Consider the following 17,740-nt stretch of genomic DNA (forward strand, 5'->3'; position numbering starts at 1 on the left):
ACATTTCTTTCTTTAAAAAAGAGCTGATTTTCCTTGGATGACACAATAGACAATTTTCACTTTTACCTATTCATATAACTGAAAAAAAAATTCTTTGGGAGTGTTTTTCTTCCTTTGCTACAGAATTATTTTTTATTAAATAACTTCTGTGATGTATTTTCTGGAATCAGTGTGCTACTATGTGAAAACAAGTTAAGAAAGCTACTGAGATGCAGTGGTTAAAATAATCACAGATCAAGCTCTTTGCTTTTCTTTTAATAAAATAAATAAAGTTCCAAACCCTGAGAACAAGTTTCACTGGAGTGAATACTGCAGGGGCATTTGCCTGGACATTTTACCCCATGGACACCGCTGGCCCCGGGAGCAGGTGACACCTCGCTGGGCAGGTCCCTGGGCCTCTGCACACAGTCCCGGGGCCCCTGGAGCAGGTGACACCTCGCCGGGCAGGTCCCTGGGCCTCTGGACACAGTCCCAGGGCCCCTGGAGCAGGTGACACCTCGCCGGGCAGGTCCCTGGGCCTCTGCACACAGTCCCGGGGCCCCTGGAGCAGGTGACACCTCACCGGGCAGGTCCCTGGGCCTCTGGACACAGTCCCGGGGCCCCTGGAGCAGGTGACACCTCACTGGGCAGGTCCCTGGGCCTCTGCACACAGTCCCGGGGCCCCTGGAGCAGGTGACACTTCGCCGGGCAGGTCCCTGGGCCTCTGGACACAGTCTCGGGGCCCCTGGAGCAGGTGACAGCTCACCGGGCAGGTCCCTGGGCCTCTGCACACAGTCCCGGGGCCCCTGGAGCAGGTGACACCTCGCTGGGCAGGTCCCTGGGCCTCTGCACATAGTCCCGGGGCCCCTGGAGCAGGTGACACCTTGCCGGGCAGGTCCCTGGGTCTCTGGACACAGTCTTGGGGCCCCTGGAGCAGGTGACACCTCACTGGGCAGGTCCCTGGGCCTCTGCACATAGTCCCGGAGCCCCTGGAGCAGGTGACACCTTGCCGGGCAGGTCCCTGGGTCTCTGGACACAGTCTTGGGGCCATGGCACAGCACTGGCACCTCTGCCCTCACCAGCCTTTCCCAGGACTGGAGGCCTTGTCTGTCGTTCAGGGTCACAGAATCTGGAGTCCTCGCTGTTCCCAGCCACACCCAGCCCAGCCTCCTGCTGGGGGCCACATTTTACCCCAATTTTTCTGCATCTCAGGACTTCACAACCATATTAGGAGTGGCAGTGAAGTCCATAACAGACTCGTAGGCTCCTTAAAAAAACTCTCCCTCCACAGCCCCCAGGACTTCCTGGTCACTGCCCGCTCTGAGATCAGGGAAGCCGTGGGGCCTCTCCCTGCCAGCTTCCATCCATGCCCCAAGGATGGGCTACTCACCCCTAATTCCTGTCCCTCCCCTGCAAATGGAGAACACTGGAAAATTACTCATCGCAGTCATTATTTGTGAGCAAGAATGAGATACTTCATTTAAAGCGGTGAATGCAGTACCTCGGCAATCACCAAAAAACAAAAAATAAAAATGGAGTCACAATATAAAGAACCTCAGGAAAAAGTGATTTTGCATCTTCCCAGAATAAATCAGTCACTCTATCACCTGGAACATGCTAGATGTTCAGCCAATGGTTTGTAAATTAATTACTTTGTTATTTTATTTCATATTTAGTAGGACCTGGTTGTATAAAACCAGAGTAAAACATGTTAGAAGTCAAGAGCTAGTTCTGAGCAAGTTGTGATACATGAGAGCTATTCAACAAAATATTTAAAACTTTGTAACATGTTTTTTAATTTTAAAAATCACATTTAAAAAGCCATCAGGAATGCAGTAGCCACAGCTTTTGCTAAAACAGTTTTTAAAAATTATTTTTCCATATCTGGGAGATTTGACCTTTTCGTTTTGCTTAAACTTTTGGTTGACACATCACGAGTGCACAGGACAGCAGCTGACAACTGCCCCGCGTGCTGGGCACATGCTTCTGCCTGCTCCAATATTTCAAAGCTGACTTATTGTTTGCTTGAAATGTGAATGAGTTACTGAAAAAATATTATGTGTCTCACAGTATTTCTATTTTACAGCCTTTAATAGTTGTTTTGCAGCTTTAAATCTGTTTGGAAAATGATGCCCAATGACTGTGTGTGGGTTTATGTCACCTGTGCTCACAGACATGTGAAGCAAAAACCTTGGCCTGCTCCCCAGCCTCTGTGCAGGACAAGCCAAAGAGCAGGCAGCGGCAGGGCCAAGAGGATCCAGGCTCCCCCTGGACCACACACGGTCACCGTAAGCACATGGTGCTCCGGGGGGTCCTGCTTGGTGGGTGGCTCACCCTTATGTGTCAGGCACCCATTTTATAGATCAAAACGTAGAGGTCTGGAAGTCTCAGAAGCAGCAAGGCTGTGGCCGCTCAGTCTCACAGTCTCACGTCCCAGGTCTTTACAGAGAACCAACACACATCCTCATACTTGAAGCTCGATGATAAGTACTCAGCGAAAAGTATCAGGCCAGTGCCGTGACTCACATCTGCAATCCCAACACAGTATCATCAGGCCAGTGCCGTGACTCACATCTGCAATCCCAACACAGTATCAGGCCAGTGCCGTGACTCACATCTGCAATCCCAACACAGTATCATCAGGCCAGTGCCGTGACTCACATCTGCAATCCCAACACAGTATCAGGCCAGTGCCGTGACTCACATCTGCAATCCCAACACAGTATCAGGCCAGTGCCGTGACTCACATCTGCAATCCCAACACAGTATCATCAGGCCAGTGCCGTGACTCACATCTGCAGTCCCAACACAGTATCAGGCCAGTGCCGTGACTCACATCTGCAATCCCAACACAGTATCAGGCCAGTGCCGTGACTCACATCTGCAATCCCAACACAGTATCATCAGGCCAGTGCCGTGACTCACATCTGCAATCCCAACACAGTATCAGGCCAGTGCCGTGACTCACATCTGCAATCCCAACACAGTATCAGGCCAGTGCCGTGACTCACATCTGCAATCCCAACACAGTATCATCAGGCCAGTGCCGTGACTCACATCTGCAATCCCAACACAGTATCAGGCCAGTGCCGTGACTCACATCTGCAATCCCAACACAGTATCATCAGGCCAGTGCCGTGACTCACATCTGCAATCCCAACACAGTATCAGGCCAGTGCCGTGACTCACATCTGCAATCCCAACACAGTATCAGGCCAGTGCCGTGACTCACATCTGCAATCCCAACACAGTATCATCAGGCCAGTGCCGTGACTCACATCTGCAATCCCAACACAGTATTAGGCCAGTGCCGTGACTCACATCTGCAATCCCAACACAGTATCAGGCCAGTGCCATGACTCACATCTGCAATCCCAACACTTTGGGAGGCCGAGGCGGGAAGATCACTTGAGGCTAGGAGTTCAAGACCAGCCTGACCAACATGGCAAAACCCCATCTCTACTAAAAATACAAAAAAAAATTAGCTGGGCGTGGTGGTGCCCACCTGTCATCCCAGCTACTCGGGAGGCTGAGGCACGAGAATCAGTTGAACCCAGGAGGTGGAGGTTGCAGAGTCGAGATCACACCACTGCACTCCAGTCTAGGTGACAGAGTGAGAATCCATCTCAAAAAAAAAAAAAAAAGAGAGAGAGAGAAAAAAAGAAAAGCATCAGTCCTGGATAGAGTTTAGGTTGTATCAACTTGCCTGCAAACTGTAGGAAGGTGAGAATAAGAAGGGAAAGATCTTGGCTGGTGCTCAGACTGGGTGGGTGCAGGAGAGACTCTTGTTCCAGAGCAGGATCCCCTAGGGTCAAAGCACAAAGAGAAATAAACTTCAGCACCTGAAAATTCTGTAATAAGAGTCTTTGAAAATGGAAAAAAAATCTATGCTTGACCATTGTTGTCTAAGAGAAGTTTGCTATCAATCCCTCCTCTAACGCCCTGAACAGAATGTTCTTCACCAGAACCCTGTGTATTCATCACCACACAGGCTGAGAGGCATTCCAGCATTTGTGCAACATCAAGATTTATGTGCAATTATCTTTATGGCAAATGTTCCACAAGTTATAGCTGTTAAAAGAAAATAAGATGCAAATGAACAAGAAGAAGCAGAGGCGCTGCCTGCAGCCTGGGAAAATTTGGGAAGCTAGCCTAATGAGTGAATTTGTTTTAAAAGGAAAGTTGGCAAACCTTATTCCAGTTCATTAAATTTCAACAAACAGCAAGGATTAAAGTAAGAATCAACACACAACTCTAAACAGGAATCAAGCGCTTAGAATTAGGAGCAAAGCTCTGGCCCTGGGGGCTTATGGTTTTGGAGAAGAAAGATTTTGGCTTTCATATATATATTTAACATAAACAGCCTTTGGAACAAGGCAACTTCCTTCTTCTTTCTGAAATGTGGTATGTTCTTGCCTAATGTGTCCCTGAATTCCACCTCTTTTATGAACAATATGAATATGCATAAAGGAGAATTTGGGGGAACCGTGCCATGCGCCCCTCAGAGCAGGAGCAATCTTGAGAAGGCGCAGGCAGAGAGCAGCGGGCGGCTTCTCCAGAGCAAGTAATTAAGTCCCGTGACTCCCTAGAACTCAGTGTTCAGTTCTGAAAAAAAACTTCGGGTTCAAACTCCCTAAGTCTATGGTCCTTGCATCAGACGCCTCTTCCCTGGGATTGCTGGGAACTGAGGAAGGAAGGGCGCTGCAGAGCTAACGATAGCAAGGGGCTCAGAGCTGGCCACCCCAGCTCCCTGGTGGCAGGAGAGCTAATGTGAGCTGATGGAAACTGAGAAGCAGCAGATAAAGGAAAAGCCATCTGCCCTGCCTCTATTGCCTAAAAGTAGAACATAAATCCGCAAAAGTGACCATTTCCCTCTCCAACAGAAAGGACAGAAATTCATCACCAGGGACCCCAGGCCCTCAACAGCCTGGAACCAGCCCCAGAGGCATTTGTGTGGCAAACCTCTGCAGCCCCGGCCTCCCTTCCTGTAGTTGCCCCAGAGAGGCCTCCTCAAAACGTGTTTCCTGGGAACTCAAAGTCCTTTGCTTTGGTCTTGCAGCTTCTTGGAAAATGATTGTTCTTTTGCTGAGGGGCTGTGCAGCAGAGTTCTAACGATCCATTCGAGTTTCCATCTTGGGGCGCTCAGGGGGCTCCCTCGTGGAAGCAGGAGTCCAGGCTAATAACCCCTGTGAGTTTTCCTCCTGTGACTCTGCCTTTTGTCAGTCTAATTTCAATGCCCCAGAAAATTAATCTAAGATGCAGGGAGAGAAAAGGTTTCTTCTTCCCCTACAGATGGATGTCAGTCATCTCTATTCAGCCAAGAAGTAGTTAACCTAAACAATGAAAACACCACCGGTTCCAGTAGAGACTTGAGACTATCTGATGAGAGTTATGTGTCTCTGGGAGGAAGTTTTCAATACAGAAATGGATTTATTTTATGAAACTTAAAAGACTAATAATCTGCAAGCCTATAAGAATGTTTTAATTCTGTAAAATATTTTACAATAAGAAAAGAAACTAGAGACTAAGCAACATATGATCAGTTAAACTTGAATAACAATATATTAATATTGGTCAATAACAAGGAATGATCTCTCTAGTAACTGCCGTTTCCAAGCATAGTAGAGAAGGATAAGCATGTTTCTTTATATTTAATCAGTTGGTTCTTAAATAATTGTCAAGTGCCTGCTGAAAACCAGCCTTTGGTCTTGGTCGTGAATAGCGCAGAACTTTGCAGAGCCCTGAAGAGACTCTCAGTGATAGGATGCATATACACAGGTGGTGTGAGTGACAGAGCTAATTTTTTTTCTGGTACCTAAAGATCAGCAGGATCAAAATTTCATAAAGGAAGAGCTGGGAGCTTGAGATTGACAATTTCATGAGATGAAGGATAAATTGTGCGTTACCTCCACAGCTCTGCAACATGGAGATTGGTCTTGGGCAGGTGGTGGACGTCCTGGATTCTGAGGAAGACCTGCACGCAATTCAGTGGGCATCAGGAGCCTTCAGATGCTTTCATCAAAGGCACAGGCACAAGCAGGCCTTGGTTTAGAAAGGTCACTTGGGTGACAGCAGGAGGGACAGAAGGATGGTGGGGAGATCAGTGCAGGAGCCAGTCAAGAGCTCCTTCTACTAAGGCAGTAGAAAGTGAGACTGACAACGGCCAGGCAGGAGCAGAACGTTCTCCCAGAGACATTATGGGGAAATTCACACCACATGGTGAGTGAAAGGCAAGGAAAGCCACGGCTGGGCTTCTTGCTTGGGGACTTGAGCTGGTAGGGTGGTTATTTCAGGCTGTTAACACCCCTCAACAGGGAACAGAGGAGGATGGCGTGACTCAGGAGAGAAGTTCAAGTGGAAAACGGGCGTTTGGGAGAGGACCAAAGGAGGGTGAGAGGAGAGGGCAAAGATCAGAGGAGCCAGAAATGCACCCGAGGTGACACTCACAGGAGGGAGACCATGGAGAGAAGAGAGCCACAGTGACCGAGGCTGAGAGAGAGAGTGGCCAGAGACTGAAAGCAAAAGGCACGACGGCCGGGAGCACTGAACGCTTGCCAGGCCCTGGACCAAAAGCCGTGCAAACCTCTCTGTAAAACCATCCTAAGACGTAACTCTGTGCACTTGCCAGGCCCTCAGCCCAGAGCCGTGCAAACTTCTCTCTTCAGAGCACACTTGCGAGGCCCTCGGCCAAGAGCTGTGCAAACTTCTCTCTAAAACCATCCTAAGATGTAACTCTGCAGCTAGGAGAGAAAACCGCGCCAGGTGAAGTGAGCTGCCGCGTCACTCGGAGATTGATTTGTCTCACTCCAGAGCCCATGGCCGTCACCCCTCTGCCACTTAAGAATGCCGGCAACATCCCAAAAGCACCAGAGTCCTGGGGAGGTGGGGGGCGGGGCTGGTTACTGCATTTGGCAAATAAGCGGTCGTGACTGACCACAGAATACAAAATGTGAGTTGAGTTGCCTGGGCAGTTGCAGTGGGTTTAGAAGGAAATAAGAGGAAAATAAAGGAAAATTCCAGGTGTCTTATATCTCAAGCTTTTGTGGGAACAGGAGGTTCCCTGATTCTTGAGAGCTGAAAGAAATCTCCATAAAGCCCGGAATGCTGGTCCTTGAGGTCCACACCTGCCACCGATCCTGCGACGCCCAGGCCGCCCCTCCCCTCTCGGCTCCTACTCACTCTTGGTGGCATCGTCCCACATTGCACTGTCCCCAGCACGCACACATTGGCGTAAAGCCAGGTCCCCTCTTCAGATTCCACACCCAGAGCCTGCAGCTCTGACGGCTGTGCTGGGGGTCCCCGGCGAGCTGTGAGCCCGTGCTAGGTGTTCCTCCCTCCCTCCTGCCCTTGCCCCAGGGAGCCCCACACCGGGGGGCTCTGTTCATTGCTCTCTGCCCAACCCTGAGGGGTCACCCTCTGCCCCAAGTGCTTAACCACTGGTTACTCATCCCAGAACCCAAGAGAGATCCAGCACGGAGGTTTTCTTAACTTTGCTGTATCACACTGTAAGAAACTGGGTGGCCAATGGAACAGACGGAGCAGGGCAGAGTGAGCAGGAAGAAATGATGCTGGGGAATTTGTGTGCTCCTTGGGTGGGGACGAGCATGGAAGGCGCGTGGGACTGAAGCCTTGAAGACCCCGCAGGCGCCTCTCCTGGACAGACCTCGTGCAGGCGCCTCTCCTGGACCGACCTCGTGCAGGCGCCGCGCTGGACCGACCTCGTGCAGGCGCCGCGCTGGGCCATGGGGAGAGCGAGAGCCTGGTGTGCCCCTCAGGGACTTCTATTTGCTTTTAGGAGCCAATTCATTCCTTTGGTGAAGTATTGATGCTACGCAGGTGAATTTAGTAACAGGACTGACGTGTGAACATGGCCGGAAACACTTGCCGTCTTCCTGTTACCGCGTCCGGAACTTCACGGTGATACCCAGAAATGGGATCTTAACCTCTTACACATTCCAGGTGCTAAAACAAATAACACAGGAGTGCTTTCATTGGAAACTACTGGTATAGTGGAATTATTTTATCTTTTATTAAATACACAAGATAGGCAAATCTTATCAACTTTACCACTGGCTCAGGTAACCAGTGATGAATGTTCAGAACAAAAGTTATTCGGAATCATTTGAAGTGGTTTGGGCAAGTGCGAAATTAAGGTGAGTAGCTCTGATCCCATCCTCCAGGCAGCTCCGTGCAGTGGGGGTGGACGCCCCTCTGTAGCGGGGAAGTGAAGGCCTGTGGAGGGAAGCGACCCCGGGACCTGGCTGCCTGCCTGTCCCGGAAGCCACGTGGGCATCACCGCAGCAAGATGGGCTTGAGGAACAAAGCAACACTGTCAGTGAATCGCTGAACTGTCATTGCGCTTTGACTGTGTGACATTCTGTTCCGTAGGAAAGCCTGAGGAGTCTCGTGTCTCTAGCGTCTTGGAGGAAAGCAAGCGCCTGGTGGACACCGCCATGTACGCCACGATGCAGAGGTGAGCCTTGCGGAGGGGCCGCCGCCCCAAATGCCACCGACAGGCGCATCCTCCCTGACATCCACACACGTGTGGCCTGATTTTCGCAATTGCAGATGAAAACCTGAAGCTTGCCATTGTTAATTTACTTCCCCAGTGTCATGTGCAAGCAGCAGACAGAACTGGTATTTAATCTCCAATCCTTTCTTAAGCAAGACACAAAGGAGGAGCACCCTGATGCAATTAGCAATTACGTATACCCTGGTTAAAAGACAGTAGAGGCTGACGTCCTGATAGCAAAACCAGCCTCTCTTCTCCAGGATTAGGACAGATTAAGGAGGAAAAGAGAGACCTAGATCCCAGATCTTTGGTGTTGTGATATAACTGTAACATTACCTGTGGCATAGAATAAAGAATTAAATGGGGCTCTCCCCCATTTTTGAAATAATTAGCATTTGTAATTATATAACAGACACCACTATTAAGAATATTGTGGTCTCATATTACCTGTCTAGAAAAAGAAAAGAAAAACAAAAAACAAAAAACCTGTAAAGCAGTTTGCCCTCCCAAGCTTATTATTTTGTAGGAAGTTGACTAATAATTATATAAGTTCTTGAGATACAAAATATCAAAAGACAGCAGTTAATTTATTCCAAATTTCTATTATTCCAGCCAGAAAAATACCTTACTGTTCATATTGGCTGCAAACAAATTATTATTTATTTTCTAAAAATTGAATCAAAGGGAAAAGAAAGAGAAACACTATTTCTCATAAACTCACGCACACTTTAATATGTCTAAAATGGGCAGGAATTCCTGGGGAAGACATGGCAGTGGGGGTGGATACCAAGTGCGTAGTAAGAAGTGTGTGCTGCTCTCTTAGTAACAATTTGTGAACCCAAGTATCTAAGACAGATCTCAGTCAATTTAGAACGTTTATTTTAACAAGGATAAGGATGCACCTGTGACGCAGTGTCAGGAGGTCCTGAGGACATGTGCCCAAGATGGCTGGGGCACAGCTTGCTTTTACACATCTTAGAGAGACATAAGACATCAATCAATACGTGTCAGATTTACATGGTGGGGAGCTTCCAGGTCATAAGTAGATGTAACAGTTTTCTGACTGACAATCAGCTGAAGGAATTATTATCAGTAGGACGGAATGTCTGGGTTATGTTAAGGGGTTGTGGACACCAAGGTTTTATGAGCTTCACAGAGAAGAGATGGTGAATGTTTCTTATCAGACTTAAGGTCTGTGTTGATGTTGATGCTGGAGGGGTAGAAGGAGGTGTGTCTGACCCACCACCTTCCATCGTGACCTGACCCAGCTTTTCAGGCTAACTTTGGAATGCTCTTGGCCGAGAGGTGGGATCCACTCAGGTGGTTAGGCGAGGACATTAGAATTTTATTTTTGGTTTACAAATTGCATGTTAACAGAACCCTTTTGAAATCAATGCCTTGATCCTAAGGATGCATTAGAGTGAGGGAAGACCAGGAGAGGCATCAACTGGGGAGACTATTGGAAAGATTTGCCTTTTGATAGCTCTCAAAAAAATACACTATACTATACACCTATTCCAACTATGTTTCTTTCCTTAAGAAATACTGTTTCTACTGTGGAACAGTCATTGTTCTAGATGCCGGGATACAGAGATGAGTTCGATCATTTCATATCCTCAGAAGTCCGTGCTCCTTCTGTAAAGTCATTGTTCTAGATGCCGGGATACAGAGATGCGTTAGATCATTTCATATCCTCAGAAGTCTATGCTCCTTCTGTAAAGTCATTTTTCTAGATGTTGGGATACAGAGATGAGTTTGATCATTTCATATCCTCAGAAGTCCATGCTCCCTCTATAAAGTCATTGTTCTAGATGCCGGGATACAGAGATGAGTTTGATCATTTCATATCCTCAGAAGTCCGTGCCCCTTCTGTAAAGTCATTGTTCTGGATGCTGGGATACAGAGATGAGTTTGATTATTTCATATCCTCAAAAGTCTGAGCTCCTTCTATGCAGTCATTGTTCTAGATGCCGGGATACAGAGATGAGTTAGATTATTTCATATTCTCAGAAGTCCATGCTCCTTCTGTAAAGTCATGTTCTAGATGCCAGGATACAGAGATGAGTTCGATCATTTCATATTCTCAGAAGTCTATGCTCCTCCTGTAAACTCATTGTTCTAGATGCCGGGATACAGAGATGAGTTAGATCATTTCATATTCTCAGAAGTCCATGCCCGTTCTGTGCAGTCATTTTTCTAGATGTCGGGATACAGAGATGCGTTAGATCATTTCATATTCTCAGAAGTCCGTGCCCCTTCTGTAAAGTCATTGTTCTAGATACCGGGATACAGAGATGCGTTAGATCATTTCATATCCTCAGAAGTCCGTACTCCTTCTGTAAAGTCATCGTTCTAGATGCCGGGATACAGAGATGAGTTTGATCATTTCATATCCTCAAAAGTCTGAGCTCCTTCTATGCAGTCATTGTTCTAGATGCCAGGATACAGAGATGCATTAGATCATTTCATATCCTCAGAAGTCTATGCTCCTTCTGTAAAGTCATTGTTCTAGATGCTGGGATACAGAGATGAGTTATATCATTTTCTATCCTCAGAAGTCTGTACTCCTTCTGTAAAGTCATTGTTCTAGATGCCGGGATACAGAGATGCGTTAGATCATTTCATATCCTCAGAAGTCTATGCTCCTTCTGTAAAGTCATTGTTCTAGATGCCAGGATACAGAGATGAGTTCGATCATTTCATATCCTCAGAAGTCTGTGCTCCTTCCGTAAAGTCATTGTTCTAGATGCCGGGATACAGAGGTGAGTTTGATCATTTCATATACTCAGAAGTCCATGCTCCTTCTGTAAAGTCATTGTTCTAGATGCCAGGATACAGAGATGAGTTCGATCATTTCATATTCTCAGAAGTCCGTGCTCCTTCCATAAAGTCATTTTTCTAGATGCTGGGATACAGAGATGAGTTTGATCATTTCATATCCTCAGAAGTCTATGCTCCTTCTGTAAAGTCATTGTTCTAGATGCCAGGATACAGAGATGAGTTCGATCATTTCATATCCTCAGAAGTCTGTGCTCCTTCCGTAAAGTCATTGTTCTAGATGCCGGGATACAGAGGTGAGTTTGATCATTTCATATACTCAGAAGTCCATGCTCCTTCTATAAAGTCATTGTTCTAGATGCCAGGATACAGAGATGAGTTCGATCATTTCATATTCTCAGAAGTCCGTGCTCCTTCCATAAAGTCATTTTTCTAGATGCCGGGATACAGAGATGAGTTTGATCATTTCATATCCTCAGAAGTCCATGCTTCTTCTGTAAAGTCGTTGTTCTAGATGCCGGGATACAGAGATGAGTTCGATCATTTCATATCCTCAAAAGTCCATGCTCCTTCTGTAAAGTCATTGTTCTAGATGCCGGGATACAGAGATAAGTTAGATCATTTCATATTCTCAGAAGTCCATGCTCCTTCTGTAAAGTCATTGTTTTAGATGCCAGGATACAGAAATGCATTAGATTATTTCATATTCTGAAAAGTCCATGCTCCTTCTGTAAAGACAGACACCTGAAGAAGGCACTTCATTTAGGGATGAATTTATTAGATCATCAGGAAACATGATGGTTTGTTGGTTGGAGAACTGACTTACTTTGAGTAAAAGTTTTAATAATAATAAAATACTTTTATCCTTCAAAACACATCTAGTTACTTTAGAGCCGAAAAGGAAAAAAAATAACTTTTCTAAATAATAATATCCAAAACTAGAGTGTGCCTAAATCATTTCTTCCACTCACTCATGGACAGTGGTATGGCCCTAGGCTTTTGGAAAGTGATAGGAAAGCACAGAGCCTGCCTACGGAAGTGTTTACGAAAAGGGAGAGTCTGAGACCACCCTACCCCCTCATTCATCACTTCACTTACCTGGATAGCATGGGGCCAGGGACAAAGGGACTTTGCTCCCAAGGTAGATGGGGCCAGAGTTTTAGTGTTTACGCTCATTCCCTGAGACCAGCTCCCATAGAGCAATGGAAAGGAGACCAGGGCAGGCTGCACACAGAAGGGGCCACATCTGGGGAGGGGGGCCCTGTGCCTGGGGACCCAGATCTTTATGATGTGCAGTGAGCTTGCCGGCCCAGGCTCTGGGGAAGAGCATCCCTGTTTGACTGGAGAGTGCAGTGTGTTCTGAAGGAAGATATGATGTCCAGGGAGGCAGGGGAGGGTTCTGGGGCCTGCGGCCCAGGCTGCATCAGCAACCAGGTTCACCTGCAGCAGCCAGACCCTGTGAGGGAGGCAGGCATTGTGTCTGGGCCACCTGGCCAGGTGTGGCTGGTAGTGAGTGGCCCCATGAGTGTGTGGGGGTGAGGGTGAGTGTGCCCTTGACCTGGCAGGCACCCCTCGGACAGGGCAGTGTGCTTTTCTCCCACCATGGCAAAGAGCGGGCACTGCAGATCTGCTCCCTCCACCTGCCGTGAGAGTGGGAGCAACTGTCTCCCTTTCTCCGCTTCATAATTTTATAATTTCGGCATGGACAGAAGAAGCGTCTGCATGAGGAGGCTGTGGGTCCGGGAGACCAGAGGCCGAGGAACCAAATGCTCCCATCAGTCTCAGTTGCTCACCCCATGATCTGTCTGGGCTCACACTCCTTGAGCAGTAAATTCATTCCCTTTTAGCATTCAGGGACCATTTCCAATATTCACAATTTGCTGTGAGTTCCAGGGTGTATTCAGCCTGGAATATCTGCATCTAGATTGGTGATACCATTTGAGTCTGTTTACTGTTCACGGTGAAACACTCTGGGCATTACTGGGATGACAGACAGAAGAGCTAAAGGAGTGTTATTATTTAATCAAATGAAGCTATTGGATGATGTCCCCAAACCGAGAGCGATCCAGAGAATTCGTGGGAACATACATTTGATGCATGGCTCTGTGTGGGCTCTTCACATTAAGAATGCGAAACCAGCTAGAGTCAAAGTTTCCCTAATTTGAGTTTGATTTTCAGATATTTTGCTGCAATTAAGAGCCTGAAAGTGTCACCTATTAATACCTTGCTTATGTTCTGAAGCTGAGGTCTTAAAGTAACATGCAGCCCTGGGCTGGGCTGCAAACTGTCTGCATTCGGAATGACCCATGGCTGGGGCCCCTGGGAAATAGCAGCAGATGAACAGAGCAGACTGTGGCTTGTGGGGTGGTTGAAGCACCTTTCCAGGCTCTCCTGAACTGAGCTCCCCACAGGCTGGGCTCTGCAGAACATGGACATGACGGGAAAGTGACCAGCCAGCAAGGGAGAGTCCTCTGAGCTACACGGCAGTTGCAGGGACAGGAAGGGCTGGCATGGGCAGCATGGCCTGGGGACCTATCCGGGGGATCCACTGGGTGATACCCTCCACGTCACTGTCAAGAGCTGAGCTCAGTTTCCCAGACCCCTGCTTTCCTGACGTACCCCTTTTGGGCCCAGATTGTGTTGTCCCATGGGTGCCAGGCAAAAGAAGGGATGAGACAGGTGAGCCCTCGAGTGGGTGCAGGTGATGTTCTAGGAAGCAGAGAAAGTGGATTTCATCAAAAGGAGCACCCTTGGCCTTCAGATCTCCAGAGAATTCTTGTTCTTCCTATTAGCCAAATGTCTTGCTCAGATAGATTTTAGATAAATGTCTCCAAGGAAAGCACGCGTTTTGGGGAGGGTTGCTATCCTGTCTACCATGGCGAGTCCTGGGGAACCTGCACAGGTGCTTACACTCTGGCTCTGCTGCTGCTGTGACTGACAATGTCACTTGTGTCTGGGCCGAGAGTCTCCTGTCTTTGGCTGGCATCCATGAACTATGGCTGGCTAATGTGTTAGTTGTAAGTAGCTATAATCTCAGTGTCCTCAAAGTTCATGACTATATAGTACCTTTTACAAACATGTCAGCCGATATAAAACACGTGTTTTATATTTTAAGTTAAATGTCATACGCATTTGTATGTACATGAAGTTATTTCTAATATATATGGTGAGTGATTTGCCCCATCCCGTTGGTGATAAGGGAGTTTTTGCTCAGTTACTTCACGTGAGATCTGGTTGTTTAAAAGTCTGTGGCATCTCCCCCACTCTACTCTCCTGCTCCTGCTCTTACTCCGGGACCTGACCACTCCCCATTCAACTTCTGCCATGGTTGTCGGCTTCATGAGGCCCTCACCAGAAGCCAGGCAGGTGCAGGAGCCATGCTTATATAGCCAGAAGAACCGTGAGCCAATTAAACTTCTTTTCTGGGTAAATTACCAAGTCTCAGGTATTTCTTTATAGCAATGTGAAAATGGCCTAACACAGAAAACTGGTACTGAGGAGTAGGGTGTTTCTATAAAGATACCTGAAATTGTGGCAGTGGCTTTGGAACTGTGTAATGGCAGGGGTTGGAAGAGTTTGGAGGGCTGAGAAGAAGAGAGAAAGACAAGGGAAAGTTTAGAACTTCCTAGAGACTTGCCAAATGACTGTGACCAAAACGCTGGTAGAAATAAGGACAGTGAAGGCCAGGCTGACATGGTCTCAGATGGAAATGAGGAACTTACTGGGAACTGGAGGTAGAGGCCGCCTGTGCTATGCCTCAGCAAAGAGCTTGGCTGCATTGTGTCCAAGTCGTGGGCATCTATGGAAATTTGAACTTACGAGTGATGACTTGGAGTATCTGGCAGAAGAAATTTCTATGCAGCAAAGAATTCAAGGGGTGGTCTGGCTTCTTCTAACAACCAACCATCAGATATGAGAGCAAAGAAATGATTTGTATTTGGAAATTATATTTAAAAGGGAAGCAGAGCATAAACATTTGGAAAATTTGCAGGCTAGCCACTTGATAGAAAACAATATCCTGTTTTCAGGGAAAGAATTAAAGGGGGTTGTTGGAGTAACCATTTACTAGAGAGATTAGCATGACTAAAAGGGAGCCAAGTGCTACTATCCAAGACAACAGGAAAAGGGCCTCGAAGAAAGCATGGTATAAGTCCTCAGGACAGCCCTTACTGTAACAAGGCCAGAGATCTAGGAGGAAAGAATGACTTCAGAGTCTAGACCTTGGGCCTCTTTGTCCTGTGCAGCCCAGGGACACTGATCCCTGTATCCCAGCTACTCTGGCTCTGGGCTTGGCTCAGAGGGGCCCAGGTACTACTCAAGCCACAGCTTGAACAGTCCAAGCCGTAAGTGTCTATAGCTTTCACACGGTGTTCAGCCTTCAGGCTCACAGAATGCAGGAGTTAAGGAGGCTTAGTAGCTTCCCCTAGATTTCAGAGAATCCATGAAAAAGCCTAGTGCCCAGGTAGAAGCCTACTTCAGGGGCAAAGCCCTCTCAGAATGACTCTACTAGGGCCATGCTGAGGGGGAATGTGAGGTTGAAGCCCCCACACAGAGTGCCCACTGAGACACTGCTTAATGGAGCTGTGGGAAGGGGGCCATCGCCCTGCAGACCCCAGAATTGTAGATCCACCAGCAGCTTGCACTCTGCAACTGAAAAAGCCTCAAGTGCTCAACTCCAACCCATGAGAGCAGCCAGGTGGGCTGTGTTCAGGGAAGCCACAGGGGCAGAGCTGCCCAAGGCTATGGGAGCCCATTCCTCACACCAGGGTACAGGACACGGAGTCAAAGGAGATTGTTTCAGAGCTTTAAGATTTAATGAATTGCCTGCTGAGTGTAGACTGGTGTGGGGCCTATCAAGCCTTCCTGTTGGCTGATTTCTCCCTTTTAGAATGGAAAAATATACCCAATGCTGGTGCCCCCATTGTATCTTGGAAACATATAACTGCTTTTTTATCTCAGAGGCTCATAGGTAGAAGGACCTCATCTCCAGATGAGACTTTGGACTTGGGATTTTGAGTTAATGCCAGAATAAATTAAGACTTTGGGGGACTGTTGCGAATGCGCAATTGTATTTTGGAATGTGAGAAAGGTGTGGGATTTGGGGGAACGGGTAGAATAATAAGGTGTAGATGCTTTTCCCCCTTAAATCTCATGTTAAAATGTGATTCTGGATGTTGGAGGTGAGGCCTGGTGAGAGGCGATTGGATCACAAGGGCAAATCCCTGATGAATGGTTTAGCCCCATCCTCTTGGTGATGAGTCAGTTCTTGCCCAGGAAGTCCATGTGAGACCTGGTTGTTTTACGTTGTGTGGCACCTGCCCGCTTGACCTCTTGCTCCTTCTCTCACCATGTGAGACACCTGCTCCTGCTGCACCTTCCACCATGACTGTGGCTTCCTGAGGTCTCCCCAGAAGCCAAGCAGATCCTGGGTCCATGTTTGCACAGCCCGCAGAACCTTGAGCCAATTAAATCCCTTTTCCTTATGAATTACCCATTCTCAGGTATTTCTTTACAGCAATGCAAAAAATAGGTTAACAAGTAAGCTTTTTAAAAATTTATTTTTATTGTATGTATTTCCGATGTGCAAAATGATGTTTTGATATACAAATACATAATGAAATGATCACTACCGTCAAACAAAGTTAACATACCCATCACCTTCCGTAGTGATTGGTGTGTACATGTGGTGAGAGCACTTAAAATCTCTCTTAGCACATTAGTTTTTAGTATTCAATATTATTAACTACGGAAGGAATACAAGTGCTTAGCACAGCACCTAAAACTTTATTTTCACTCAGTAAGCACTATGTATTTTGGGGTTATTATTAATAAACAAAAATATAAACAATGCATTTAATTATGGCAGAACAACTGAAGAGAACAACTAGGTCACTTTTCCCAAAGCCACAGTAGGTGATTCTGAGCCCTGAGCCTCATGTCTAACTTGCAGAGGGAAGGAGGTTCTCCTGCCAGCTCTGTAGTTCTGTCTGGCGTCTGACACTCGCACACCTGCCAACACCTCCCCAACTCTACTCTCTTGCTCCTGCTCTTGCTCTAGGACCTGTCCACTCACACACCTGCCGTGGTCACTTGGGCAGTGCTGGCCTCCTGTCAGCTGGAGAGGCCCCGCCCTGCAGGCGACTCAGCCAGGGCAGCTGTCTGGAGCCCCCAGAGCACAGTCCGCTGTGGTCACTCTGCTTCTTCTTTGAGGCCTGGCCCTGCCAGCTTTGCTGCCAAAGGTGATTGACTCAACATTCAGACAAGAAGGATGGTGAACTTGATGTAGTCCTCCCTTGGGTCCTGGGGACTCAGTAATTCCATTCTGCAGGTGCCTGGACAATGCTCTGATCCACCCAGGTGTTGGCAGCATTGTTGCAAAGGTCACCTCTGTGCTTTCTCTCCAGGTTCCCCAGGTCCTCAAATGCTAGTAGGCAAGCCAGTTGTGAAACCTTGGATTGGTTCCGTGTAGCT

At 47.5% G+C, this 17,740-nt stretch overlaps 1 protein-coding gene across 21 annotated transcripts in view, besides 1 other annotated feature; it reads left to right on the top strand.

Annotated features, from left to right (window-relative positions):
- The window catches only part of TPO (thyroid peroxidase), a 169,627-nt gene that overhangs the window by 40,631 nt on the left and 111,256 nt on the right, over positions 1-17,740 (top strand). For all 21 annotated transcript variants that reach the window (XM_047445652.1, XM_047445655.1, XM_047445654.1 and 18 more), the window contains one exon: positions 8,368-8,452. In XM_047445652.1, the coding sequence (XP_047301608.1) occupies positions 8,368-8,452 (85 nt within the window). The remainder of the gene's footprint in view (positions 1-8,367; positions 8,453-17,740) is intronic.
- Positions 2,623-3,822: an enhancer, noted in NCBI's record as "P300/CBP strongly-dependent group 1 enhancer chr2:1421072-1422271 (GRCh37/hg19 assembly coordinates)". NCBI's record gives its function as "activates an origin of replication core promoter dependent on BRD2, BRD4, P300/CBP, MED14 and CDK7 cofactors, with strong dependence on P300/CBP, by STARR-seq in HCT116 cells {active_cell/tissue: HCT116}" and the evidence as "EXISTENCE:reporter gene assay evidence [ECO:0000049][PMID:35650434]".

This window comes from Homo sapiens, chromosome 2 (genome assembly GCF_000001405.40).
Source record: "Homo sapiens chromosome 2, GRCh38.p14 Primary Assembly".
NCBI classification, from domain to species: Eukaryota; Metazoa; Chordata; class Mammalia; order Primates; family Hominidae; genus Homo; species Homo sapiens.